A 27,869-nucleotide genomic window follows, 5' to 3' on the forward strand; every position below is an offset into this window, starting at 1 on the left:
CAGTTAACATGATAGACAATGTGGAGTTTACATTTTGGTAGGGAGAAACAGGCCTTATATAATACACATAATATATGAACAAGCTAATGTATATGGTAGAAGGTGTTGAAGTCTTTTGATGAAAATAAAGTTGGTACAGTAATACAGCAGGATAAAGCAGATCAGGAGTGTGGGTTGGAGGTGTGGCAGGTGGCAGGATCAAATGAGAGGACTGGGCACGTCTCAATGAGAAGTTGTGATTTGGACAGAGACTTGTAAGAGGTGAGGAAGTTAGCCAAACATTTGACTGGGGACAGAGCATTCCAGGAAGAGGGTACAACTAAGGCAAAGTTCATGAGGCAAGAAGACATCTATGGTGTTCAGGAACAGAAAGGAGGCCCTTTGGCTGGTGCAGAGTGAATGAGGGCATGAAGTCAGAGAGAAAACAGTCAGATCACACAGGGCCCTGATGGACTTTTTAAGAACTTTGGCCTTAATTTGGAGCAAAATGGTGAGGCTACTGCAGGGGTTGGAATAAAGAATGATGTGATCAGAGTTAGCGTTTTAGAAAGAAAACCCTGGCTGCCATGGGTTTGGAATAGACTGTGGGTGAAAATAGCACTGGGGGAGGAGGAGGCAAGAATAGAAGCAGGTACTTTGTAAGCAACTATTGTGAGGTTGGATTCTCAAGATATTTTGGAGGTAGGGTCAAAAAAAATTTCCCAATGGAAGGGAAGTGGGGTGTGAGAGAGAGGAACCACGCATAATTCTAAAATTTTTGTTAAAAGGAAAGCATAATACTTGAAGAGTCTAAAACTAGGTCTAAATATAAACAGCCAAAAAGAGCACAAGGCTTTAAAAATTTAAGCAGTGGAGGAAGGTGACAAGACAAACAGATTCCTGTCTCAAGCTGCTGTCACTTCCCTCTCCATGACTAGATTCCAGAATATGGGTCTTCCCAGCCAGTGCTTCTGAGCACCACCTTTCTTTCTGCCTAAAACCCTCTTCTCCAAGATCTTTGCATAGTTGGCTTTTTCACATGCAGATCTTAGTTCTCTGAGAGCTCTTCCCTGACACTGCTTCCTGAAGTAGCTGTCTTCCCCAAATCTCTCTATCCTAGTATTCTGGTTTGTTTTGTTGCCTTTGTTGTACAAATCACCTTCATAAAATATTGTATTTGGTTTTTACTGCCTGTCTTCACCGCTGGAATGTGGGCTCCATAAACACCCAGATCTTATCATTCCTGGCTGCTACTGTATCCCCGGGACCTAGAACAATACCTGGCACATAGCAGATAATAACTATTGGGTGAGGAAGTGTTGTAATATTAAAGTAAATTACCAAATATTCATTAAACTCCTGCAGGGAACACAACTAGTCAGTGTTTGAGGGTTAGTGAAATATTTTCATATAGCATTTTTGGGCAAAAATTGAAAACAACACTATGAGAAATAGGTAGAGAAATCACAAGACATTCAATATGTGATTCACTGACAGATGAGTTGAGGAAAAGGAAAATTGAAAGAGACTTGCAGAATGGGAAAATTTGATATTGTAGAATTATTGGCCTTCAGAATTAAAGGGATCAGCCTAACAATATACACAGGTAGAGAGCTTTGCAATATCTCATTGAGCTTTCTCTGAATACCTCCAACAACAAGAGCACATTATGGTACAAAGCAGTATATTCCAATCTTTGGCATTTCTGATTATTGGAAAGCTATTTTTCATTCCATGAAAGGAAGAATAGGGAGTATTTGACTAGGCAGAGAAGAATGAGGAAAGTACTGCTGGCTAGGGGAATGTGTGGGCAGAGACACAGAGCTAAGAGAGCTCTGGGCCAAAGACAAACTGAAAGGATTTCTGCATGGGAGGAGGGGAAGAGGAACTAACTGTCATCTCTTTTGGGTAGGCAGAGAGAAAAAGGTCTGAGAAGAGTAGAATTTGCTTCATAAATAGTGGACTAGGGCAAAATCTGATATCAATTTTAGATTATTTAGGGCAATTAAAGCCCCATTAAAAATTCTATTTCTGTTAATAAGGCAGTATGAATTAAATATCCAGGCAAATCTGAAAGTGCTGGTTCCAACAAATTTTTTTTAAAATAAGAAAAGCGTCAAATTTTAGTGAGAAATATAATCACTTATACTTGTGGAGTTAATATGGATTCTAAGTAGGAGGCTGACCTTTGCTTGCCTGAAGAAGAAAAACACTTTGTTCAGAACAGTAATAATTTTTAAAATACACAGTTCTGACGTAATTTCCTTAGGGATGTGAAAAAGCCTGTGGATAGTGGGATTCATATGGAATGAGTGCAAGCCATGCCTTTAGCGCTTGGGGTTTATTGAAAAGTTTGTCTGTGAATTGGAAAGCATGTGGCTATTGGCCTCTTTTGCTGAGAGAGACTATCTTAGTCCACTTTTTGCTACTATAACAGAATACCACAGACTGGGTGATTTATAGTGAACAGAAATTTATTAGCTCACAGTTCTAGAGACTGAGGAATCCAAGATCAAGGGGTTAGTATTCAGTAAGGGCCTTCTTGGTACATCATGTCATGGCTGAAGGTAAGACAGCAAGAGGGGGCCAAACTCATCTTTTTTTTTTTTTTTGAGAAGTAGTCTTGCCCTGTCACTCAGGCTGGAGTGCAGTGGCACAATCTGGGCCCACTGCAACCACTGCCTCCCAGGATCAATCAATTCTCCTGCCTCAGCCTCCTGAGTAGCTGGGATTACAGGTGCCTGCCACCACGCCAGGCTAATTTTTGTATCTTTAGTAGAGACGGGATTTCACCATGTTGGCCAGGCTAGCCTCAAACTCCTGACCTCGTGGTCCGCCTGCCTCAGCCTGCTAAAGTGCTGGGATTACAGGCGTGAGCCACTGCGCCTGACCCAAACTCATCTTTTTATAAGAGCACCAATCCCACCCATGAGGGTGGAGCCCTCATGGCCTAGTCACCTCTTAAAGGTCCCACCTCTTAATACTGTTACAATGACAATTAAATTTCAGCATGATTTTTGAAAGGGATAAACAGTCAAGCCAACACAGAGACTAATTCTTAGAGAGCCACATAAAAGCTAACATCTATAAACTCATGGCCACTATAGTCTTCCAGATAATTTTCCTCATATACACTCTTTATTTATTTATTTATTTATTTTTTCAGATGGAGTTTCACTCTTGTCCCCCCAGGCTGGAGTGCAATGACACTGTCTCAGCTCACTGCAACCTCCACCTCCCAGGTTCAAGCAATTCTCCTGCCTCAGCCTCTCGAGTAGCGGGAGTACAGGCATGCACCACCACACCTGGCTAATTTTTGTATTTTTAGTAGATACGGGGTTTCACCATATTGTCAAGGCTGATCTCGAACTCCTGACCTCAGGTGATCTGCCTGCCTTGGCCTCCCAAAGTGCTAGGACTGTAGGTGCAAGCCAGTGTGCCCAGCCTCCTCTTATACACTCTTAAAAATGCTGTAGTTTGTGTCAGAATGGACCATTACCAGATTTTATTTTCTGCCCTGAGATTTTGGAGAGATGACATCACTTCATCTAATCAAAACCACTCAGAGGTGTGACAAACCTTAGACAGTTGCAAATACCAATAATAAACCTTTTATATACAATCATCAGTGTAATTTGTGGGTGATTTCAAGGATAGGTGTTCTGTAGGGTAACACTGCCTTAGAAACAAAAGGGAAGTAAAGAGGGTTTCATATTTTTATCAGAGTGTTTTCAAACTAACAGAGAAAACGAACAGAGCTCCTTTATACAATTGAATGCATTGCAGGTTAGCTGAAGTGAAATCAAGTCAAGAATATTGTCTGAGGAAATATCAAGTTACTGTAAAGGTAAATCCATCAAGAATATCTAAAGTCAGGGAGGAAAAAAAAAGAATTTAGTATTTATCTATGTATGTTACTTCATGATTAGTAGATCCAATATGAGAATTAATGTGGTGCTCGAGTAATGAAACACAATTGTTTGAATATATTTGACTAGTCCCCATTGTTAGCAACCAAGTTCATCGCACTCTGAGCTTTAGTTCTCTTATTTGCAAAACAAGTCAGAGGATTGTGGCAGAAGTTGAATTAGAAAAGCTCTAAGGTACGTAGTACCAGTAAAATTTGAATTTAGAAGATGCGGAATTTAATGGAATTTTTATGCATGTTTCTTAATTTGTTTTTCTTGCAACAGATGCTGTGAACTTTTACACATAGGTTCAAAGAATAGTTCCTGCTTTGAAAATGGGCCTGAGATTCACCCAAAGAACATCTTGAGGATGTCATTGGATTTTCACATCAATATCGTTTGCTTCACCTTACTTTTCTAATGTCTAGATGCCCATAGGTTTCCCAGGGTGGAAAGAGAAATAAAATAACTTTTGGGAGCTTTAAAGCAAATTGCCACTGGATTATCGTGATTTGATATTTGCTTTTCCAGATAGGTGACTGTGGGAAATAATCTGGCCTCTCCTCCTGTACCTGCATGTCCCTTTCTTTTCCGTCATGTGATTCCTTTCTTTCTGTGTTTACAATAGGATCATTTTTGGCTTCTGGCCCAGGTCCATCTGTGGCTCCACTCATATCTCTCTGGCCTATCAAAATTCTATTGATGCATTTTAAGCTTCAGTTTCTCCTTCGTAAGAACTACTGCCAATGTTGATTTTTTTCTTTGCTCCCCTTTCACAGGATTTAGTACTAAATTTCAAATTACCTTATTGTTTTTTCCCTTTTATTTTCTCCCAACTGCTTATAAGTTTCTTGAATATAGGCTCCTTTTTTTTTTCTTTTTTTTTTGAGACAGAGTATGGCTCTGTCACCCAAGCTGGAGTGCAGTGGCACGATCTCCGCTCACTGCAACCTCCGCCTCCCGGGTTCAAGCGATTCTCCTGCCTCAGCCTCCCGAGTAGCTGGGATTACAGGCAGCTGCCACCATGCCCGGCTAATTTTTGTATTTTTAGTGGAGACAGGGTTTCACCATGTTGGCCAGGATGATCTCGACCTCTTGACCTCGTGATCCGCCTGCCTCAGCCTCCCAAAGTGCTGGGATTACAGGCTTGAGCCACCTAGCCAGCTCCTTTTTTAATGCATTATATATTTATGTACTTTGTAGCTGAGAATTTGGCTGTTTTTTGATGCTCTTTTGGAGCCTCATTCTCAGAGTTCTAAAAGCCAAAAATGGCATTCTGAAATCTCAGTTTTATGAAGCTGTCAGCCAGTGGTATAAAATGTAATGGTCAATTTAAATTATGGTACATTCAAATGCAGCTTTCTATTAATGACTTTATGATAAAATGAATGCCAGTTTTAGACACTTCCCTTAGGTACAGCTATCCATCATGTTCCCTGAGTGTACCGGGAGATCACCTTATATTATAGTTGACACCCTTGAAAAAGGACAAAAAAGGGAAATAGCAGCATGGGGAAGGGGGTTGCAGCGGATGTGGTCAATGTGTTCCAGTACCCAAAAGGCTTCTTTCTTCTCTTCCTCTCACCATGAGAAGTTTCTATCAATTTTTCCTAATGATTAGCTATGACTGAGATGTGGATTTGGATGTGACTTTTTTTAAGAAAGTGTTGAGTTTCTTATACTTTATTTTATTCTATTTTATTTAAAATATAGCTTACATTTTAAAAAATTTAATTATTGGTTATGCACTACTAGTCAGGCTCAGCTGACCTATGGTAAGTAACAAACCTCAAAATCCCAAGGGTTTAACGAAACAAATATTTCTTCTTTTTTTCTCATGTCACAGTTGGGAGATTGGATTTTTTTTTTAATGGCTTTTCCTATAGGGGCTTGGGGACCCAGTGCTGATCTCACAGTATATTCCAGAAAAATATTTTTCTACTCCACTCCCATTAAAGGATGGTGTAATCAGTTTCTTTCTGAATGAAACAAAACAGCCTGAGTACTCTTATTTATACATGTAGATCAGATATTCTTCCTGTGTTTTACCCCCAGGAAGAGTGTATTTTTGTTTGAGTATCCATTAATTGTTAAGTAATAATTGCAACAGGGGCTAAGAACCTGGAACAATTAACAGGACCTTCTGGAATGCCTGTAATCTAATAGGGAATGTGTGTTCTGAGAAAGTTATTAAGGTTTGCAATAACTGGCTTTATCTTCATCCTAACCCTAGAACAGTGCCTGACACAAATCAGTGACACAATAAATATTTGTTGAATGAATGAACTTAAAATGTTTTTGCCTTTGCCTTCACTGTAAAGCCATTTTTTTTCATTATTTCACCTGTTTAAAACTATGCTCTGTCTCTTCCTGTCCCAGCCCATATTTGCAGTGAATGCTTTAGAAAAAAGATGTGGACATGATCTATTGTAATTCAACATTAAAAACGAGAGAGGATATTTTCCAAACTCAGGAATTTACCCCTTTTTTCCTGAACTGACATAATACTTTCATAATATAAATAGAGACTTGGTGAAAACATCAGATATATAAACTGCAAAGATTTTGAAAAGAGAAATAGATGAAGGGATTGAAGACAGTCACTGAATTAAAACAAATTCCGTTCAATAGCATTTTTCAAATTTCACCTGACTCAATCTGTGTAGTCTTTTCAGCTGCTTTAAGTATCACAGCCTTATAGATAGTGCAGCATAGGGGCAATAAAGATAAGGTGTAAATTGTGAACAAAAAAGAAAATAACTTTATTTTTGTGTGGTTTAAATAGAATATTGCTGATGAACTTTTCACTTGGATGGCCTTATCAAGTGGTTTTTTTTTTCCAGAGGAAAGAGCAGGGCTTGCAAAACAGTGTAAATCAGGCAATCTACATTCACATCTTGATGATCTGCAAATCACTGAATTCATTTGCAAGAGTAAAGCAGACTCATGAAATCAATAACTTTGCTATTCATTTATGCTGCATACTTTTCCCCTCTTTGGAAGAGTCCATAAAGCAGAGTTTTAAGATTTTATTAAGCTAAAAAAATGAGAGGATATCTTTAGCAAATATCTTCAGTTTTCTTTACCTGTGTTTCTATTTTCTTATTTGAGAAATGCTCAAAGCTAATTGTCTCCAATGGTGTGAGGTCTGTGGGTCATCATGTTAATGTCAGTGATGGGGGCTTTCTGCACACTATTTTGGAAAACAGGCCTGCTCTAAGCTAGTCAGAGATGAGCTTAATTGTTGTATTTGTGAATTAAGGACTGATGCTTATGTATTTTAGAAAATAAAGTGTTAGCTCATTGCTTTAGAGGTCATAAAAATAGAATTGGGTTCATATAAACTATTTCCACATAAAATAATTGTGTTTCCATGATGAAATTCAGATCAGGGCATCAATATCCATCCTAACTGTGGATCCTTAGGGGCTCCAAACACTTAGGTGCACTACCGTATTGCCTCTTGCCCTTTTTGTGTGTCTGAGGCTGAAGAACATGAACACTGAGGAGGTTGTTCTGCTTCAATATTAACTATGGAAGTGTTACCAGTAGCGAAACCATATGAGTCTGCAGCAGCCCCAGTTCTTGCCCCTAATTCGACTGAGGGGCATAAAGCAGAAGAAGAAGCCGAGGCAAGTTTTAGAGCAGTAGTGAAAGTTTATTAAAAAGCTTTAGAATGGCTGTGCGTGGTAGCTCATGCCTGTAATCCCAGCACTTTGGGAGGCCGAGGCGGGAGGATCTTTTGAGGTCGGGAGTTCGAGACCAGCCTGACCAACATGGAGAAACCCTGTCTCTACTAAAAATACAAAAAATAGCCAGGCGTGGTGGCACATGCCTGTAATCCCAACTGCTAGGGAGGCTGAGGCAGGAGAATCGCTTGAACCTGGGAGGCGGAGGTTGTGGTGAGCCGAGATCGCGCCACTGCACTCCAGCCTGGGCAACAACAGTGAAACTCCATCTCAAAAAAAAAAAAAAAAAAAAAAGCTTTAGAGCAGGAATGAAAGGAAGTAAAGTACATTTGGAAGAGAGTCAGGGTCAGGTGGGTGACTTGAGAGATCAAGTGCACTGTTTGACCTTTTGACTTGGGTTTTATACATTGGCGTACTTCTGGGGTTTCATGTCCCTTCTACACTGATTCTTCCCTTGAGATGAACTGTCCACATGTGCAGTGGCCTGCTAGCTCTTGGGAGGGGAGCATGTGCAGTGTGTTTACTGAAGATGTATGCACGCTCACTTGAGGCATTCTTCCCTTAGCCGTCTCGCATTTCCAGAGGAAGATCATATACCAATTAAACTGCTATTTTTCCTCTTAGTACACACGCTTGAGACCACTCGCCCAACTCCAGAGATCTTACTGGGGAAGTGGTAATCAACAGTACCAGGTTTTTTCTATCTATTGGGTTGACTGCAACTAATTATTATTTTAGAGAGACAGTTAACAACCACCTGACTATCCCGTGATGGTTGCCTGACATTCTTGGTGGGTGGGCTTGCGGGGAGCCCTCTCCTGCCTTGCTCATGTTTGACTAGCTACCTAATGTAACAGAAGTGTGCTCTGGAGAAAGTCTATTGCTGTGTACCTTTCACTGCACCTGAAATATTTTGTTGTTGTGTGATGAATGAATTGCTACTATGTGATGATCTTGAATATTTTCACTTTAATGAAGAAGAGTTACTATCAGATTGTTCCCAGAAATAAAATTTTACTTTTCTTCACCTGTGACCCCTTTTCCTGACATAAAGCCATAAACTTTAGAGTTCAGTATGGAACAGAAGCTAAGCATGATAATGATTCTGAGCTTTCAGCTCATGCCTGAGCTTGTGAAGAAATGAAAAAAATAGTCAATTTCAGGTCTGCTCCTGGTTTACCTAAAGATGTGTGAAAAACTTGGGTCTCTGTCACAGTCAGCCAAAATCAGTCAAAATTCATTCTAACTCTAAATAGCTCTTTCATGTTTTTTCTGTCAATGTCTGTAAGTTTGTGAAAAGAACAAATATTTTTCTTAAGTCTTGAAATTTTTATTGGGAGAAATAAAGAGAACTGGATGTTTGAAAAATTTTGTTTTATTTTCTGTTTTTTTTTTTAATGTAGCTTTGTAGTTTATTTTGGTTATAGTTAACATTACAAAATAGTCTTGTATATGTAGAACAACTCATTGACAACTCAAAATGTACAAAATCAGAAGAAAAGAGTATAATTGTCTTCAAGATGCCTATTATTCTGAGGCTGGTTGGTGTGCAAAAAGCCTGCAGTCTCACCACCTATAATTTTCTCTAATACTTTTTTTTTTTTAAATTGACCTCAATACACTTTATTGCAGAACAGGAAATACTAAACATTTAAGAAAGATTTGTGGAAAACGATTTGACTTCAGAAAAATATTTGTTCCATCTTAAGAGGATCAAACTTCAGAAATATTTTTAAAAGTCTTCCTCTGAAATGTCTCAATTCTTAGTGATTAAAAATAGCTAAAAGGGCTTAGAGTAGTGGAGAGACTGGATTTCGGTATTAGATTCAGGTTTGAGTTCTGGTTTTGCCCTGTTCTAAGTGTGCGTGATTTTACTAATTAATAATGATGTTGGACTGCTTCTCTTAGGTTTATTTGTCTAGTGTGTTTCCACTTCTGACAAATATTTTCCATACCTTTACTTGTGTTTTCTTATTGGTTTGTAAGAGTTCTGTATAGAATCTTAATACTAATCGTCAATTGTGTGTACTACCACCTGTAAATATGCCAGTCTGTGTCTTATCTAATATTTCTTAACGTTGTAAAATTGTTCAAAACTGTTTTTAGTTTCAGTGGCTTCTGTTCTTATTTTTCTGGGAGATATTTTTTTTTCTCATTTTAAATAACAGACTAAATAGTCACTGTCTGATTTGAATAAATCAAGCCAGAAATATCCTGACAGTACACCAAACAAGACCTGTGTGTATAATGTGAGTTCTTTCTTTTTAATTTTAGAATCAACCTTGTCCTATGTTAGGCAGCTGGAGGCAAGAGTAAGACAGCTGGAGGAAGAAAATCGCATGCTGCCCCAGGTGGGTGACTTCCAGAAGCTCATAGCTAGTCAGTGCCATTTAAGTTGTAGTATTTTATTTGGAATTTAAAAGCTCAATGACGTTTTGTCTTTTAAATGATAGAAATCATTTTGTAAATAGCCATTCATCAATGTAGAGTGTGATTATGTTCCATGATGGCCATCATCTTATCCAGATTTCTAAGTGTTATACTAAAGGGTGCAGATATCTGAAATGAGAATGTGAAATAATTTTGAAAGGAAGAACAAAGGAGAAGGATAAAATAATGAGAAGTAGAAAATAAAGACATGTCGATAGTACTACTCATATACACCATGCATGTGGTTGGTGGATATAGGGAAGGTAATCTTATTTAAATAGAAAACTTGCTAATTTCTGAACTAGGCAAAGCTATAGGTAGTTGGAAGGTTTCGCATTATAATTAAATTAGTACATTCTAAAATTCTTTGTGGTATAATTGAACTCTTTCAGTGCAACAAAGTGATGACAGCAATTGACAGTTTTTGCTTTGGGACTTCATTTCTTTCCCCTTAATTAAAGTAAAGTGGCACTTTTTCCAGGATGTTTAATGTCTTCCCATACGTTTCACTTATAAAATTCTTTCCATGGGCTGTTAACTTGATGAGAATGATGCTGGTCTTTTGAGGAGGTGGTTTTCAGAAAATGTTTTGTTGAGGAGTTGAACAAATATGATTCTAGGTTGGTTTCCTTTTCAAGCATGTGGACAATAATATATTTTAATGTTTTATAACAAGAAGTTTTCCAAGAAATTAGTCACTAGGGTTCTTTCTACATTCTGGTAATTATTTCTGTTTCATAAATGACTAAGGCAAAATTATACCTCAAACAACTAGTAAGCAGTAGTTTAAATAAAAGGTCAAAGACTAACCAATCTTCAGGTTGGTATTTCAGGAGAAGAAATTTGAACATTAATGCAAAGACCCTTTAGAAAGACATTTTAGGTCTTTTTAATCTTGTTTTGTTTTTGAACTACTTTTGCTCATTAGTGATGATTTGGGCTATCAGGTACTGCACATAAGAATCCTTTTTTCTTTCTTCCATTGGCTAACAGTCTGCCCAGAAATCATGAGATTAAGTGAAATAAACCTACAGTAGTTGTCCCCCTTTTCAAGGGGAATACATTCCAAGACCCCAAGTGGATGCCTGAAACCACGGATAGTACCAAACCCTACAATACTATGTTTTCTTCTATACATAAATATATATGATAAAGTTTAATTCATGAATTAGACACAGTAAGAGATTAACAACACTAATAACAAAGTTATTATTAGTAAAGTACTATTAAATACAATAAGGGTTACTTGAACGCAAGCACTGAGATGCTGTGACCATTGGTCTGATCATCGAGATGGCCATTAAGTGACTAACAGGCAGGAAGTGTAGACAGCATGGATTCATCCCAGGTGGGATGGAGCAGGACAGCATGAGATTTCCTCACACTACTCAAAACGGCCCACAATTTAAAACTTGTTTATTTCTGGAATTTTCCATTTAATATTTTTGGGCCCTGATTGACTACAAGTAACAGAAACTGAGGCTAAGGGTGGAATTCTGTACTTCTATCTCTTCTCAAACTGTACATGTGTTAAAATTCATGATGACAGAAGAGATTGTGTCATGAAATAAAATACTACTGGTGGGTTTGTTTTCTCTTTGCTCTTCATTGTTTTCCTTTTAAAATTTTTTTGTGTTCCTTTTTGCCTTTTATGTTAAATTCACAGTATGACTGTCCTAAGGCCCTTGACTGAAAACATCTAACTTCTTACTTGTTACAAAGAAACCTACAAAATCTAGTTAGTTTATTATACATGGTTGTGCCATCTCTCAGGCGACTGGGAATGTAAAAGAAATAGAAAAAAAATCCAAGTGATTTTTGTTCTTAGTTTCCTTCTGAGAAGGAATTGAGGCTGACATCAAACAGCAAACTAATAGCATGTATGCCATCTTATCAAAAAAAAAAAGAGGCACAACAAATGTGAAAATGATGACAAGGCTGATTCTTAAAAACCTGTGAAAGTGAGTGTTAGAAGTCTTGAAGGAAAATCAGAAGAGTCCTTAACTATACTTGATGTGTCTATGTGTATTGGAATACATAGTACTTGCATAGTTAAGACTAAGCAAGATTAAACAACTACTCAATTTAAAGTGTTCAGTTATATCCTTTGAAATACATTACTATTTTGCTACCAAGGAAGGTTTTTTGGTTCATTTTGTTTTGTTTCATTTTTTTCTCTCTAAGAAATGGCTAGGAAAGATCATGTTTTATTGATGCTAAGATGTTATTGATGTGGGATGCACCATCATGATATGTAGCATTACAAAAGAAAAATGGTATCGGTTATACCATGCCAGATTCTTGCAGATTTCAGCGATGTTACAAATGGGAAAACAATGTTTTAGTTTTAGTTATTTATTTGTCAAAGTAATTTAGTTATTTACTTGTCAAAGTAATTTAATACAAAGAGAACCCATTGTTTGAAATATGCTGTTGGACATATGCAAAGAATGCAGTAGATCTGTCAATTCAAAAACAGGATTTCTGTTAAATTTCTATATCAGAGAGTGGTGCCTTCATTTACTACTAAGATATAATAGAGGTACCAGTTGCAGCTACTCCTATAAATACAAACTAACATGAATACAGACAGTAGGTAAGACCCTAGGATGGAACACAATAAATGGATGTCAGAACAGTGAGCATCATGTAGAGAATTCTCATGGGAGACTGAGACTTCAGCTGGATTACACAAAGGCATTTACCTGTACAACTTACTCTTAGATGTTACTGATACTATTACAAATAATGTGTCATGAGATTTCCCTGCAGAAACTGTTTCTAACTATGATGTTAGCTGATTTGCAAGGTCAATTCAATGAGAAAAGCTGACATCCTAGCCTAAGTTAATCTCAATATTAGAACACTTGATTTTCAGTTATAAGAATTTGTTTGCTATGCCTTGATCAGAAGGTATTCCTTTTCACTCCCAAATTTATTAAAGCGTGTCCATTTGTCTTTGAATAAACAGAAGTAAGAATGTAGCTGGCAGCTGGAATCCCAAGTATGTAAAACACCTTTGCAGCTGTAGCCAGAATTTTTGCTTTTAGTTTAGAGTTCAGACTAATTATGTAAAGCACTGTCCTGGAGGAAGAAATCTTCCTCAATGCTCCTTTTTATTCTTTATATAAAATTGTATATAATGAACAGAAAGTCACAACTTTGCCCTAGCAATATAAATATTTAAAAATAAACACAATGAATATAATAAATGCTTGTGGATTTCTCCCTGGTTAGATGCAAAGACCTTAATTTTTTCATTTGTAAATGAAGGGGTTCTTCTCAGCTCTTACATTTTGTGGGCTCAGGGGTAAATAAAGGCTTGGGCCCATGTTTTATACATATACAAAATGTTCAAGTCCCAGAATGAAGGACTCTTTCACAGATAAAGGCAGTGAAGATTAAGTTAGTTTTATCCAGTGGTGAAGAGGAGCCCACAGGAAGTGCTGATGGAGCCTCTGTACAGCCACCGTGGCAAGTCATCCCCAGTGAATGTAGAGCTCCTTGATCTGCCATGGTGTGTACTGTGTCCTGCAAGAATCACTGAGCAGTATTTTAAACCCAGTTTGTGAACACAACATTTCAAAGGTATCCTAAGGTAAGAGCCAGTCTTATTATTTTTAGAAAATGCTGCATTATGTGCTAGTTATTATTATTGAGAAGAAAATGCCTCTTCAAAGTTAGTACAAATGGTAGTTAAAGGTCACCTGGACTTTAGGATATTCTTCCGAGCACATGAACAAATGGGAACATTTTTTACAGATCACAGTTAAATCTTTTTCAAAGAATTGCATATAATCTCTTACAGTACACATAATACACATAATGCTAAGCTGCTCACATTGGCTGTCAGTTCCACTGCATGGATATGTGATGTGATGTGAACCTCAAACAAAAATCGTGCTTAAATAAATTTATTTAAATAAATATAGCTGCTGTCTATGAGATTTCATTAACTTTTGAATCCAGTGAGATGGAGTCACTCTGAATAATGTAAGTAGACATTTGTAAATAATGACATAGTAGGGTGTAAAGTAGTTTTAAGGAGTTTTGTATCAAAATAAAAAGGAACACACCTATCTTCTATACATACTTACAAATAAATACAGGTTTTCTCTATACAAAGAATCATCAATTTCCAGAGCTGGATAGAACCTTATGTGTCACATAGGACAACCCCCCTTTTCAGTCAAGGTGTATTGGGTTCACAGAGGTTAGGAGCGTCCTCCTGTCAGGCAGCCAGTGAAGGCCGGGCTTCATAAAATGTAGGCCTATTCAGTGTTCTTTCTAGCATGTGCACAGTGGCTCCCTTAATCCGTTCATACCATTAATATGATTCAGTGTAATTAAGCTACTAAACCTATTTTTATCTTATTGACAAATTCATTTTTTCCAACATTTATCTTAAAAACTAACATTGGATCTGCTTAGCCATCTGAGATTTGTTAGATGTTTATTGCATTCCTGCTTTAAAATAAATGTTCAGTTTTTCTTAACGCCATGGTATACAACATAAATAAAACAAAAAGTGCATTTTACAGGGTCTTCTCCCTGACACATTTCCATAGTACTTGAAAACCATAAAGGTTTATTATATACACACAAATTCCCACCCCTGCATGGAAAATTTATGCTTAACAGAATGTGGTAAGAGAGGGCCTTTTGGTTCAGAGTGAACTGGAGGAGGGTGGATAGGGGGAACTGATAGTTACAGTCATGGTTTTAAAACTGAAATTTTAAAATTGAAATTTGATTTTTAGCCCAAATTCAAAAACCTTGCTTAGCTCTTTCTACTCCATTCATTATCCTTTTCTTGATGGTCACAAAGATTTTTTAATCCAGACATAGTCGATATGTTTATATGCTGCATGTGCAGTGAGGCCTATTCAACTAGAAAATATCTTTAAATGGATGATATAGAATACCTACCTGATGAGTTTATTATAAAGTAAATAGTACTACCCTTTAAGACATCAGTTACTATTCACATGTAATGCTGAGGTAAAAGTTATTATTAAACTATTCTCACCTATTTTGTGCTGACTTGGGATTTTGCATCACAAAGAGACTCGACTAGAGACATGAACAAGCAGTTTGCTGTAGCTCCTAAGTCAATTAAATACATTTGTTAAAAGTCCTATTAGGAAATTTGTTCTTTTTGATCAAATGCTCTGGCGCCCACATCTGCTTGGAAAGCAGTATATATTCGTTGTGCTCAGAGACCCTCCCCAGAACAAACCATCCACCTCTTGAAGCCAACATTTGCAAGCCAGTTTCTGAATCCATAGAGGCACCCGGAACTGCCTGCTGTCATATACCTGCACATGGGCTGTGGGTCCACATACCTGTTTGAAAGGCATGGTAACTCAGATCACCCCTGAGTGAGCCCCTTCCAGCAAGTGTTTCTATTTCTCTAGTGCTAGCACACACAGAAGAGTCTAATTTTAGAAATGGAAATGAAAAGTCTCCCTCTCAAGTAATTTGCTTACAATGTGGCCTTGCAATGCAGTCTTTCAGTGCCTTGGCAAGAGGCAAGGTGGTTGCCAGAGCAGTCTCTGAACAAAGGAAAAGAACCTGTCACTGTTGCCACAAGTGCTGAGAAGGGTACGTAGGAGCTAAAGAAATCAAGCTCTCACTTCCATGGCAACACAGTGCAGGTCCAGCATCACATCTCTGAAGTCCTCCCTCACCTCACCACGGTGCTTATGCAGAATTACTAGCATGGGGGCAGAGAAGGGAGGCTTCTCTCAGACTCATTATTCCCCTTATGTGCGTTTCCTTGTTTGCTGTGGCGATAGATATGTATCGTTTTGCCTCTTTATCCTTTTCACATTTTCTGACTGTGCTTTGCCTTTTGTTTGTTTTAGTCTCATAGGGCCATAGATTTATGGCTCTTTTAGAGTTGGAATTGCTCTGAAAAATGAAAATCTGTAACTGTTGTACAAAAACTGTCACAGAGTAAGGCTTTCCAGGATCCTTAAAGCAAGTGATGGTATTCCTCAACTGTTATTTGCATAGAAATTACCATTCTGGCACTCCTGAAGAGAAACTTGTGCAGAATTATACTTTTTTTTCTCATGAAGAGCGACCCTAATTATGTTGCACAACCTGTGTAGAATCTGGATGTTACTGATTGGAAAAATTAGTTAAATCCATTAAGGATTGTTTGCTGCTGGAGTCATACTTGGGAAAAAATGGACTCTACCAAATGAATAGTGCTTATATGGAACAACGTTTTCTCTAAATTGACATAATTTATATAATTAAAGGAAAAAGGGTTTTATGTGTAGTTCAATAGAGCTTTCAGGGGACAGATGGGAGCAGCACGAGTGGTGTGGGTGTGTTGGAATAAAAGAGATAATTAGATATGAAAAGTAAATTTATGGAGAAAAAATCATGCTAGAAAACCTAAATAAATGGAAACTGGATTAAGGGAAAAGCTAAAATTTGTCAGAGAAAATGTCAGAGAGTATAATTCACAGGAAAAATGTGTAAGGCAACATGGAGGCCCTCAAAATGAGGGGATTCATAACATTCTTCAGAGATTTCCTCATATTTGAGGGTTCTTATTTGAGAACTTCTGATACATGATGATAAATCTTCGTTCTAATGAGAGAATATAGGTGAAAGGGAAATGAAAGTAAAATATGGCCACGCTGCTGATTAAACATATTAGTAGAATTATTTAATAGGTACTAAACTATTTGGGACTGTGTTATCAATAATTCATATTTAATAGTGTTGCCTTTTTATATCTACACTGGTATATTAATAATTCTATCTTTGAATGAAGGTACATTCAAAACTTTTTTTATTTGTAATAGCCATAAAAATGTAGCATTATTGTTACCTGTCCTTGGCAGAATTTTTTGCAAAAAATTATGGGACCCTATCAGTCTTAGGTTTGGCTATATAGTAATATCAACTAGAAATGTAGATACTTATGAGAAGCAATACTAAGGAATATTTGGAAAAAAAATGGAAAGGGAATTATAAGAGAAGCTAATGTTGCCTTGAACTTATAGAAATGCTTTTCTGTTCTTCTTTTGCTTAAAAAAAAAAAAGCCAAAAACAAGAAGTTAAAAGTTAAAGATGAAACAGTCTTCTGTTTTCTTTTCCTTTTTTTTTTCTTCTCTTATTTTTTTTTTTTGAGACAGAGTCTCGCTCTGTCACCCAGGCTGGAGTGCAGTGGCACTACCTTGGCTCACTGCAACCTCCACCTCCTGGGTTTTAAGCAATTCTCCTGCCTCAGCCTCCCGGGTGCAGTGGCTCACGCCTATAATCCCAGCACTTTGGGAGGCCGAGGTGGGCGGATCACTTGAGGTTAGGAGTTCAAGACCAGCCTGGCCAACATGGTGAAACCCCATCTCTACTAAAAATACAAAAATTAGCAGGGTATGGTGGCAAATGCCTGTAATCCAGTCTTCTGTTTTCTAATAAAGTAAGGTAACAGGCTCATAGAAAGTGGGAAACATTGTATAGTGTTAGATTTTGGAATATAGTTAATTAAATGTAAATACCATTGAAATGTGGATATCAAAAAAGCAGTAAATTATGAAATCTTGGCCTCTGGGAAGCTTGTAAAGATGCTGTGATTTCCAGTAGAGCAGTCTTACTTTGATCTCCATTTCCTGCTGGAGGTTACTACATCTCTGACTAATGGAAAATAAGCATTTAAACTAAGCTGTCCTCCTCCTCTGTGGTTCAGAGACCTTTCCTTTTTTTTTTTTTTTCTATTGCATGGACATAGCATAATTTATTTAGTCAGCCATCCTATTGATAGATATTTTTTTTCAGTTTCTTTTTTATTTATTTATTTATTTTATTATTATTATACTTTAAGTTTTAGGGTACATGTGCACAATGTGCAGGTTAGTTACATATGTATACATGTGCCATGCTGGTGTGCTGCACCCATTAACTCGTCATTTAGCATTAGGTATATCTCCTAAAGCTATCCCTCCCCCCTCCCCCCACCCCACAACAGTCCCCAGAGTGTGATGTTCCCCTTCCTGTGTCCATGTGTTCTCATTGTTCAATTCCCACCTATGAGTGAGAATATGCGGTGTTTGGTTTTTTGTTCTTGCGATAGTTTACTGAGAATGATGATTTCCAATTTCATCCATGTCCCTACAAAGGACATGAACTCATCATTTTTTATGGCTGCATAGTATTCCACAGTGTATATATGCCACATTTTCTTAATCCAGTCTATTATTGTTGGACATTTGGGTTAGTTCAAGTCTTTGCTATTGTGAATAGTGCCGCAATAAACATACGTGTGCATGTGTCTTTATAGCAGCATGATTTATAGTCCTTTGGGTATATACCCAGTAATGGGATGGCTGGGTCAAATGGTATTTCCAGTTCTAGATCCCTGAGGAATCGCCACACTGACTTCCACAATGGTTGAACTAGTTTACAGTCCCACCAACAGTGTAAAAGTGTTCCTATTTCTCCACATCCTCTCCAGCACTTGTTGTCTCCTGACTTTTTAATGATCGCCATTCTAACTGGTGTGAGATGGTATCTCATTGTGGTTTTGATTTGCATTTCTCTGATGGCCAGTGATGGTGAGCATTTTTTCATGTGTTTTTTGGCTGCATAAATGTCTTCTTTTGAGAAGTGTCTGTTCATGTCCTTTGCCCACTTTTTGATGGGGTTGTTTGTTTTTTTCTTGTCAATTTGTTTGAGTTCATTGTAGATTCTGGATATTAGCCCTTTGTCAGATGAGTAGGTTGCGAAAATTTTCTCCCATTTTGTAGGTTGCCTGTTCACTCCAATGGTAGTTTCTTTTTCTGTGCAGAAGCTCTTTAGTTTAATTCGATCCCATTTGTCAATTTTGGCTTTTGTTGCCATTGCTTTTGGTGTTTTAGACATGAAGTCCTTGCCTATGCCTATGTCCTGAATGGTAATGCCTAGGTTTTCTTCTAGGGTTTTTATGGTTTTAGGTCTAAGGTTTAAGTCTTTAATCCATCTTGAATTAATTTTTGTATAAGGTGTAAGGAAGGGATCCAGTTCCTACAAGGAGATTTAGGCACTTTTCATTTAAAAGTTTTCTACTTTTCATTTTTTGTTTTCTTTCCTGTAGCCTGAGGAAAGTGAACATGCTTATAAATATAACGCATTAGTAATTTAAGTTGGTGCCTTCTGTATCCTTTACATATAAAGTAGACAAATATAAATGTAATATATGCAATATCTATATTGCCTAAATATAAACATAATATAGATCCGAAATGTCATATACATAAAGATCTATATTCTTTGACAATATAAGACAGTTTAAGTGAATACATTTTTAAGTGATTTGAGTCTTTCTTTTTCTTTTTTCGAGACAGGCACTCGCTCTACAGGCTGGAGTGTAGTGGTGTGATCGCGGCTCACTGCAATCTCCGCCTCCCTGGTTCGAGTGATTCTCCTGCCTCAGCCTCCTGAGTAGCTGGGATTACAGGCACGCGCCACCACGCCCAGCTAATTTTTGCATTTTTAATAGAGACGGGGTCCCACCATGTTGGCCAGGGTGGTCTCAAACTCCTGGCCTCAAGTGATCCTCCTCCCTTGGCCTCCCAAAGTGCTGGGATTACAGGTGTGAGCCACTGCCCCTGGCAAGACTTTCTTAAATTACATTTGAAAAGCTGTCATTGTATGAAAAATAAGCAAAACATAACTGAGCCATGTTTAGGAAGCTGAGACATAGCAGTGACTTTGGACTCTGATAGTAATTCGGAGAGGCACTGTGAATTGCTAGAAATAACACCAAATAGGGGTTTCAAGAACTAGTTCTTTGCCTGGCTCTGTCTTTAATCAGTTTTTAGACCAGGAGGACACCCTTAACCTCTCTAAGCCTTATATAGCTTGTCTATAAAAGAAAATTGTCACAGGTGATATGGAAAGAGCTACTCAGCTCTGCAAATTTATGACTCTTTATCCAGAGAGTTTGTGTTTATGTATAATTAATATACAAAACAGGTGTGTTCTTTTTATTTTGATACTCAGATTCCTTAAAACCACAACTTTACACTATATTGGGTCTTTAATTTACAAATGCCTACTTACATCGTGGGGGGTTACTCTACCTCACTGGATTCTAAAGCTAATAAAGTTTCATTAGATAGCTATTAAATCTATTTAAATAACATACAGTCATGGACATGTATGTTTAAGACTCAGACCATATCAGATATACAGATAGTGTGCTCACACGCTAGTCTAATCAGTGTTGGTTTTATGTGTATTTGGAGAGATAACATGCAGTCCCCTTAATGTTTCTTTCTATTCTTTATATAAAATCATGTATAATGAACATAAAAGTTCTAGTTTTCCCTAACAATATACATATTTAAAAATAAAATGAGTGTGATAAAGGCTTGTGGATTTCTCTCTGGTTAGATCCAAAGAGCTAACTCCTTCATTTCTAAGTGTGGTTCCTTTCAGCTCTGAACATTCTGAGACCAGGTGTAAATAAAAGCTTGGGCTCATGCCTTATACATTTGCAAAGCTAACAAGTGTCAGGATGAAGGGCTATTTATTCAAGAACAGATAGAGAGAAGCAGTGAAGATTGAATTGGTTGTATCTAGTTGGTGGAGAGGAACCCACAGGAAGTGCTGATGGAATGCTGGTACAGCCACCATGGCAGGTCATCGCCCAGTGAATGCAGAGCTCTTTGCACTGCCATGTTCTCTATGATACCCGATGAAGATCACTAAGCTGTCCTTTAAATCCAGTGCAACATTTTGAAGAGAGCCAAAAACTAGGAACAGTCTTATTATTTGGGGGAGTTGCAATGTTATTTATTAGGCATTATTTAAGAAGAAAATGCCTTGTGAAGGGTGGTATATACAGCCCAGCCACAACTGTGAGCATAGCGTTACTGAGTAGACTGTGTTTCCTCAGGCCACACCAGCCCAGGTAAAGATCACCTGAAGTTAGGATATTCTCACCTGAGTTCATGAACTAATGTGAAAATTTTAAAAATATCACACTTGAACATATTTTAAAGGGACCACATGTTATCTCATATTGCATGTAATAAAAGAAGCCATGACATTTCTCATACTGCCTACAATAAAAGGAGGCATGACATTTCACAGAGGGAATTTAAATAATTATGACGAAAGAGAATGCTAACATAGAAAATGCTAAAAAGTTAACTTTTATCTAAGTGTAATTTATACCCAACAATAGGTATTCTTTATTTTAAAATGTAGCATACTTTTCAGAAATTCAGTTCTGAGACTGGCCAAAATAAATTGTTATGACAAAGAGACGACAAAGACATGAGGTATCACACATTAGTTTTTTCAGTGAAGCTACATAGAGGAGAATAATGAAAGAGAAGCTGCATATAAATCAAAGTCATCTGTGCTTGTGATACACATAAAGAATAATACAAAGAGGAAGAAAACGTTTTTTCAAAGGATACCTGATTTACCGGATTCATTCTGCAGACTAAAGCATCTGAAATAGCCACTAAGAAGTGGATGAGGCCTTTCTTTAGATTTTCTGGTTGACATCATGAAAGAATTGTAGGAGGCACACAGTGAGATGGTAATGAGTGTAGCTTTTACTGTTTAGAAGAAGCTCTTGTACATGATCTTTTAGGTTGAGTGCCTCTGAGCCTGTCTAACCTGGTAGCATGTTAACACATGACACTAATTAAAGCATGTTGGAGAAGCAGGATGAAGAAAGAGCATATTAAATAAATTATAGGTGTTAGCTTAATTGTTTCACTACTTAGGGGCCTTCAATGGCTTGGTAAGTCTTACTAGAAGACGATTTAGGGTTTATTTTAGAATTAAAAATTATACAAAGTATTCTAACATCAATAATCAATGGAGTCTTTTGAAAAACAGCCCAGCCACAATTGTAAACATAGCGTTACTGAGTAGATTGTGTTTCCTCAGGCCACACCAGCCCAAATTGGGATCACAGAAATGATAACAGTGTTCTCCATGGGCCCAGCCCGCTATGAGTCTGCTTTTGGGAGCTGTTCCCCCATCAGGTATACAAGCCTTCACCTACTGTCTTAAGTCTAGTCCTGTGGGTTTCCACACTTCACCCTTCCTGAGCCTGAGTTTGGCTGTTGACTGGCTGCCAGAGTCTGGCCATTCCCCACGGCTCCTAGGATTGGAGCTCCCGAGTTTTCCAATATTCTCTGGGCTGAGAAAATTCCCCCACCCTTACTTGGGTTCTACCCTATTCCAGGCTCCAAACGCATAGGAAAAGTAGCTCCTTCCCCAGGGTCTACTGTTAAGGCCAGGAAATGGAGGTGGGAAGGAATACTCACTGTTGGTCAAGAGACAGTCTGTTCAGAATTTTTTTTTCCCTTTGAAAGCACTGTATTCTTCTTAATTCACGTGTGTCTATAGTCTATTTCTTACCTTTGGGAGAACTCTTTGTCCTCAAACTTCATAGTATCTCACAAAAATTTACTCACCTCAGATATTTGTGATTTCAGAAATGCTTAATTGAGACCAAAATAATGAAGCCCTCTTTCAGAATTTTTTTTCTCTTTACGATTTTTGTAACTCATATAGGTTAGTGATATAGAAGCAACCTTTGAATTATTGTTCGTAAAAAAGAGAAAAATAAAATAAGACAGCTCACCTCTTCACTTAAACCCTTGGATTACATTTTTTGTTAGTTTTATTAATTTGACTATTGTTCTTAGCAATTATATTAGGAAAAAGATTGGATTGAGAAATGTACGGATTACAGAGGAAGTGTCAATCTGACTTAAATGTAGTATAGCAAGTAAAGGAATTGGGTATTGTCTTTTCATGACCTAAAATGCCTCTCACTTGCTACAGAACAACTTGCAAGGCAGGAGTTCTAATATTTGACAGATAACAAATAACCAATAAACCCAGGACCAGATGGGAGCCATTCTGGACTTACATAAAAGCTGGCTCTAAGAAGGGAGGCTTTTTAATAGCCAAGCTCTATCAATTGTTTGTGACAACCAAGGCAGGTGTGTCTTAATGTCAAAGGGGGATAATTTTTTTAATTTAAGCATTTTCATATGTGATGAAATTTAATATCTATAACTACAGAAATCTCATAAGAGGAAAAGATAAAATGCACACTCAGAAATAAATCTAACCAGTAAATTTGATCACAACTAAATTGTGTGGGAATGATTGGTCGTTATGCTTTTGGGTGCCTAGCAAGTATTGAGTGCCAAAAGTTAACAGAAGCTACAGTTAAAATTTGGATGAAATATTTCTCACAAAGAGTTTTAAGCAAAGGGGCCTTTATCAACTTTGTATTTTGCAATTTTTGTTTGGAACAAGCCCCGTTCACTTTCTACTCCTGTTTCTACCACACTCCCATTTTAATACATGATTCTTTAACCAGTGAAACTCACATGCTTTTGTTAGTAAGTTCTCTAAATGGTCAGATAGTTGGTGATGGCAGCTTAGGTTCTTTGCCAATTGAAAAAGACTTTGGCTGTGATAGGCTGAGCCAGGTGGATCACCTAAGGTCAGGGATTCAAGACCAGCCTAGCCAACATGGTGAAACCCCATCTCTACTAAAAATACAAAAATTAGCCAGGCATGGTGGCAGACACCTGTAATCTCAGCTACTGAGGCAGGAGAATCACTTGAAACTGGGATGCAGAGGTTGCAGTGAGCTGAGATCATGCCACTGCACTTCAGCCTGGCCGACAGAACTTTTTTTTTCCATCTCAAGGAAAAAAAAAAAAAAAAGAAAAGGACTTCGGAGAGGTCATTTTAAGATTGAGCCCTAGGCCGGGCACGATGGCTCATGCCTGTAATCCCAGCGCTTTGGGAGGCCGAGGCTTGTGGATCACGAGGTCAGGAGATCAAGACCATCCTGGCTAACATGGTGAAACCCCATCTCTACTAAAAAAACCAAAAAAACAAAAAAGTAGGCCAGGCGTGGTGGTGGGCACCTGTAGTCCCAGCTATTCGGGAGGTTGAGGCAGGATAATGACGTGAACCTGGGAGGCGGAGCTTGCAGTGAGCTGAGATCACACCACTGCCCTCAAACCTGGGCAGCAGAGTGAGACTCCATCTCAAAAAAAAAAAAAAAAGATTGAGCCCTAAATAGCCACTTGTGAAGAAGGTGTCTCATGCAGTCTTCTGAGCATTGATTCATTGATTTTATTGTAGAGGATTCTCTTGGTTAGGGAAACCAGTCATACTGAGCTGTTGTCACTTGAAGAAGAGATCAAGATAGGCATGAGAGAAGGTGGGGACAGCTGCCCCTCAAATGTTCACTTAAGTACCCACTATGCTCAGGATCTTAATATTAATAAAATTCATCAGAATCAGTCATGAGAGTGTGATAAGACATCTTTCAATTCTAGATAGAAGTATTTTGGGGTGATTTCTTGTGGCTACAGTTGATGCCATAATTTATTGTTAATAATTGGTCTTTAAACCATTTGAAAATATTCAGTGTTTTTATCACTTTGATTTTAAGTACTTTTATTGCCTTATTAAACTATGCTTTTTATTTTAGATGTATCTTTTGTGTTAATGTTTTTTGAAGGCATGAGTCCTACTGGGTTTTCAGTGTGTGTTCAGTATCTTAAGTCTTTAGGGCCCAAGAAGGGACATTGTAGGTCATGGAAGGGATAGTGTCCATTTCCTTTTTTTTTTTTTTTTGCTATGTTCTTTTCTCTTAAATGATGAGGTTGCAGCCTGAAATGGACCTTTCTTTCTGTGAGAAACAGAGCTTATGCCAGAGCAGGGTGGATATTTACAAGCATCTGTAACCCTTACAGTTGGATCTGACTCAGGTTACAGACAGGGCACAATACAATATGGAGACCCAGTGTGTCATCAGTTCCAACCTGGTGCTTTGTTTCTGTCTCAAGCACTAACCACATCCTGAGTATCAGCTGGAGTCCTGGATACTGGCCCAGCATTGAATCCATCTTGATGATGATTCCCATTCTGACCCTGGCCCCCCATGGTTATTCTATTTTGCAGGTGAGAGAATGTCACCTATTAATGGACAGGGCAAGGTTTGTGTCCAGATTTTCTGTTACCTCTGGTTTAGTATTTCTATTTTGCTCAGACTTGTCACGTGACACTTTTGCATCTCTTGAAGCAAGATAATCTGTGAAAATGACACTATCACCACTACCTCCACCACCATCAGCCAAAACAAACCTCTGCGTAGTATTGGGGTCTGAATACGACAGATCCCAGGAAACCTGGGCTTTAGTTTCTAGTCCATCTGTTTTGATATTTACTATGAGAGTTCATTTCTTTAATAATGTTTTATCCAGTTGGGAAGGTCTTGTCCTTTTAGAACTCTTAAGAAATTTCAAGCCTCCAATAAACAGTTACTCAGCAAAGGACATTTGTCTATTTATCACTTATTTTCTGGTTCATTTACTGCTTCCGTTTAAGCACCTAGCCTCCTTCTCCAGAAATGTCCCAGACTATTCCAATCTGCAGTGACTTCTTTATTATCTATACCAGGGTTGGCAAACTTTTTTAGCAAAGAGCCAGGTAGTAAATATTTTCAAATTTATGGGCCATATGTTCTGCTTCAGCTACTCACATCCTGCCATTGTAGTGTGAGAAGAGCAGAAAACAGCCACAGAGAACATGTAAATGAACAAGTGTGGCTGTATTAGAATAAAACTTACTTACAAAATAGACAGTGGCCTGGATTTAACTCTGGCAGTAGTTTGCTGATCCCTGCTTTACACTAAAATAATTTATTCATCCATGACTCTGGGTTATCTCTTATATTTTTGTCTTTTTTTCTTTCTTTTTTTTTTGACATGGAGTTTCACTCTTGTTACCCAGGTTGGAGTACAGTGGCACGATCTTGGCTCACTGCAACCTCCACCTCCCAGGTTCAAGCGCTTCTTCTGCCTCAGCCTCCCATGTAGCTGGGATTACAGGCTTCTGCCACCATGCCCGGCTAATTTTTTTGTATTTTTTTTTTTTTTTTTTTTTTAGTAGAGATGGGGTTTCACTGTGTTGGCCAGGCTGGTCTTGAACTCCTGACCTCAGGCGATCCACCCACCTTAGCCTCCCAAAGTGCTGGGATTACAGGCATGAGTATGTTTTCATTTGTACATAAAGACTTTATACAAATGCTCTTCCTAATATTTGCTACTTATTTTTGCATTAGTTCAAATTCTTTGTCCTGTCATCCCAAAACCTGCTCTGAGTTATCAGTACTGGGATTTGAAGTGTGCTGTGATTTAACCAGTGGTAGTTGAGCAAGAGGCAAGGTATTTTTTTCTAATTAATCTCTTAGCTTTAGGCTGAGAACTTTTTGGAGACCAGGATGCTTGCATTTGACTTGAAAAGGGAAGATCCTCCCATATAGAAGGGACAATTGTTGTGATATCGTCGAATAGGAAATTTGTACTTTTTTGAAACATATGTCTATGGTGACTGTAGGTACCCTTTAGTGAGTGATTGATTATATTACTTTTGTTTCCTGGCGATCTCTTCCATGTCTTAGAGAGATTGGTAAGAAACTAAAATGGCACAGGCTTATCTTTAAAATAGATACCACATAGGCAGCAGCTTGGAAAGAACATGAATTTCTGTATACACCTTCACAGACAAGTGAAATGCTAAATCTATGTTTATCGATGGATGAAGAAAACCATTTCTGGCTAAGGAGGAGTCAGAAATCAATCTCCCTTTTCTCAAGTGAGGGCATTTCCTGAAAAAAGGAGAAACTTGCAGAAAAAAGTACGAAGTAGGTGAATTCTGCATTTTTCAGGTTCTTCATATTAATATTCTTCCTTCACATGATCTTTGTCATATATGTGGGTTTTAGTCATTATGTATGTGTTCTTGTAAAGGAAAGGTGAAGGTGTTTTAGTTGGTTGTTTCTGCAGCATCTGTTCATTGGGAATCTGCAAGGTGCTTTCGGAAGGACAGAGGAGAACAAAGGCTAGTTCACATCTTCAGCATGTTTTCTGTGGGTCAGGACAAGACTTAGAGGAAAGTGAGAAGAATCCTCACTTACTTGTCTTTGTCACCAGGACTGATTGACATCAGAAGAGCCAAATGGTGGAAGAGAGCTTAAAAAGATTAGCCAGTGTGATGTTCACGTTGTATGCTATAAATACATGTATTTACTATTGGTCAATTAAAAATAAAATAAACTTTTTTTAAAAAAGATTAACCAAATGCATTCACAATGCTTGGTCAGTGACTAATGTCAACCTAGCAATTTTCAAGCCTCTCTGTAGCACTTAATGTTTTCAGAATGCTTTGCAATCAGGCTTATTAGTCTCTCTTCACAGCTACCACGTGAAGCTAATTGATAGGCCTCTCCATTTTAGCGTTGAGGACAAGTGACTTGCTGAGGGTCAGGCAGTGAGTGATTAATGGAGCTCATTAGTCTTTGGGTTATTTCTCTCTTGAGTTAGCAAAAATGCTTTTCATTTTTTTTTTAAAAAGACATCTCTAACCAGCCTCGGGGAACTTACTACTGGTTAACCAGATTGTTTTTCAGGATAATGCTATTGCAAAAATTCTAGTTTTTAAGTTTCTTTTAAAATTTTGCCTTTCCTAAAGCTTTAGTGTCACTTTTCAGAAAGTTTTGGCTGTACGTGTTAAGGGCTACCTTTACCTGTGTAATTCCCTCAAAATTTTGGCCATTTTCTTCCTATCACACAGAGACTTTAGAAAAAATAAACTGTGTTAAGCAAGAAGCTTTAGTTTGTGACAGTAGTTGTGGTCAAAGTTTGTATGGAGAGATGAGATGAAACCATGTTTTATTCCAGTTACCTCTGCTATCTTTTATCCCCAGAATCTCATATAGGCTAAACAGAAGCAGTGACCTCACTATTTGGAATGAGAAAGGTTAACATTTATTGTTGGTTTGGTACAGGAATATTTATTC

General features: G+C 37.8%; 1 protein-coding gene across 7 annotated transcripts in view; it reads left to right on the forward strand.

Moving 5' to 3' along the window:
* The window catches only part of CCDC85A (coiled-coil domain containing 85A), a 202,323-nt gene that overhangs the window by 149,177 nt on the left and 25,277 nt on the right, over positions 1–27,869 (forward strand). For 6 of the 7 annotated variants that reach the window (XM_024452642.2, NM_001080433.2, NM_001348512.1 and 3 more), the window contains exon 3: positions 9,851–9,927. The exons of the other annotated variant lie outside the window; for it this stretch is intronic. In XM_024452642.2, coding sequence (XP_024308410.1) covers positions 9,851–9,927 — 77 coding nt within the window. The remainder of the gene's footprint in view (positions 1–9,850; positions 9,928–27,869) is intronic. 7 annotated transcript variants of the gene reach the window in all.

The sequence above is a fragment of the Homo sapiens genome, chromosome 2 (genome assembly GCF_000001405.40).
Source record: "Homo sapiens chromosome 2, GRCh38.p14 Primary Assembly".
Taxonomy (NCBI): domain Eukaryota; kingdom Metazoa; phylum Chordata; class Mammalia; order Primates; family Hominidae; genus Homo; species Homo sapiens.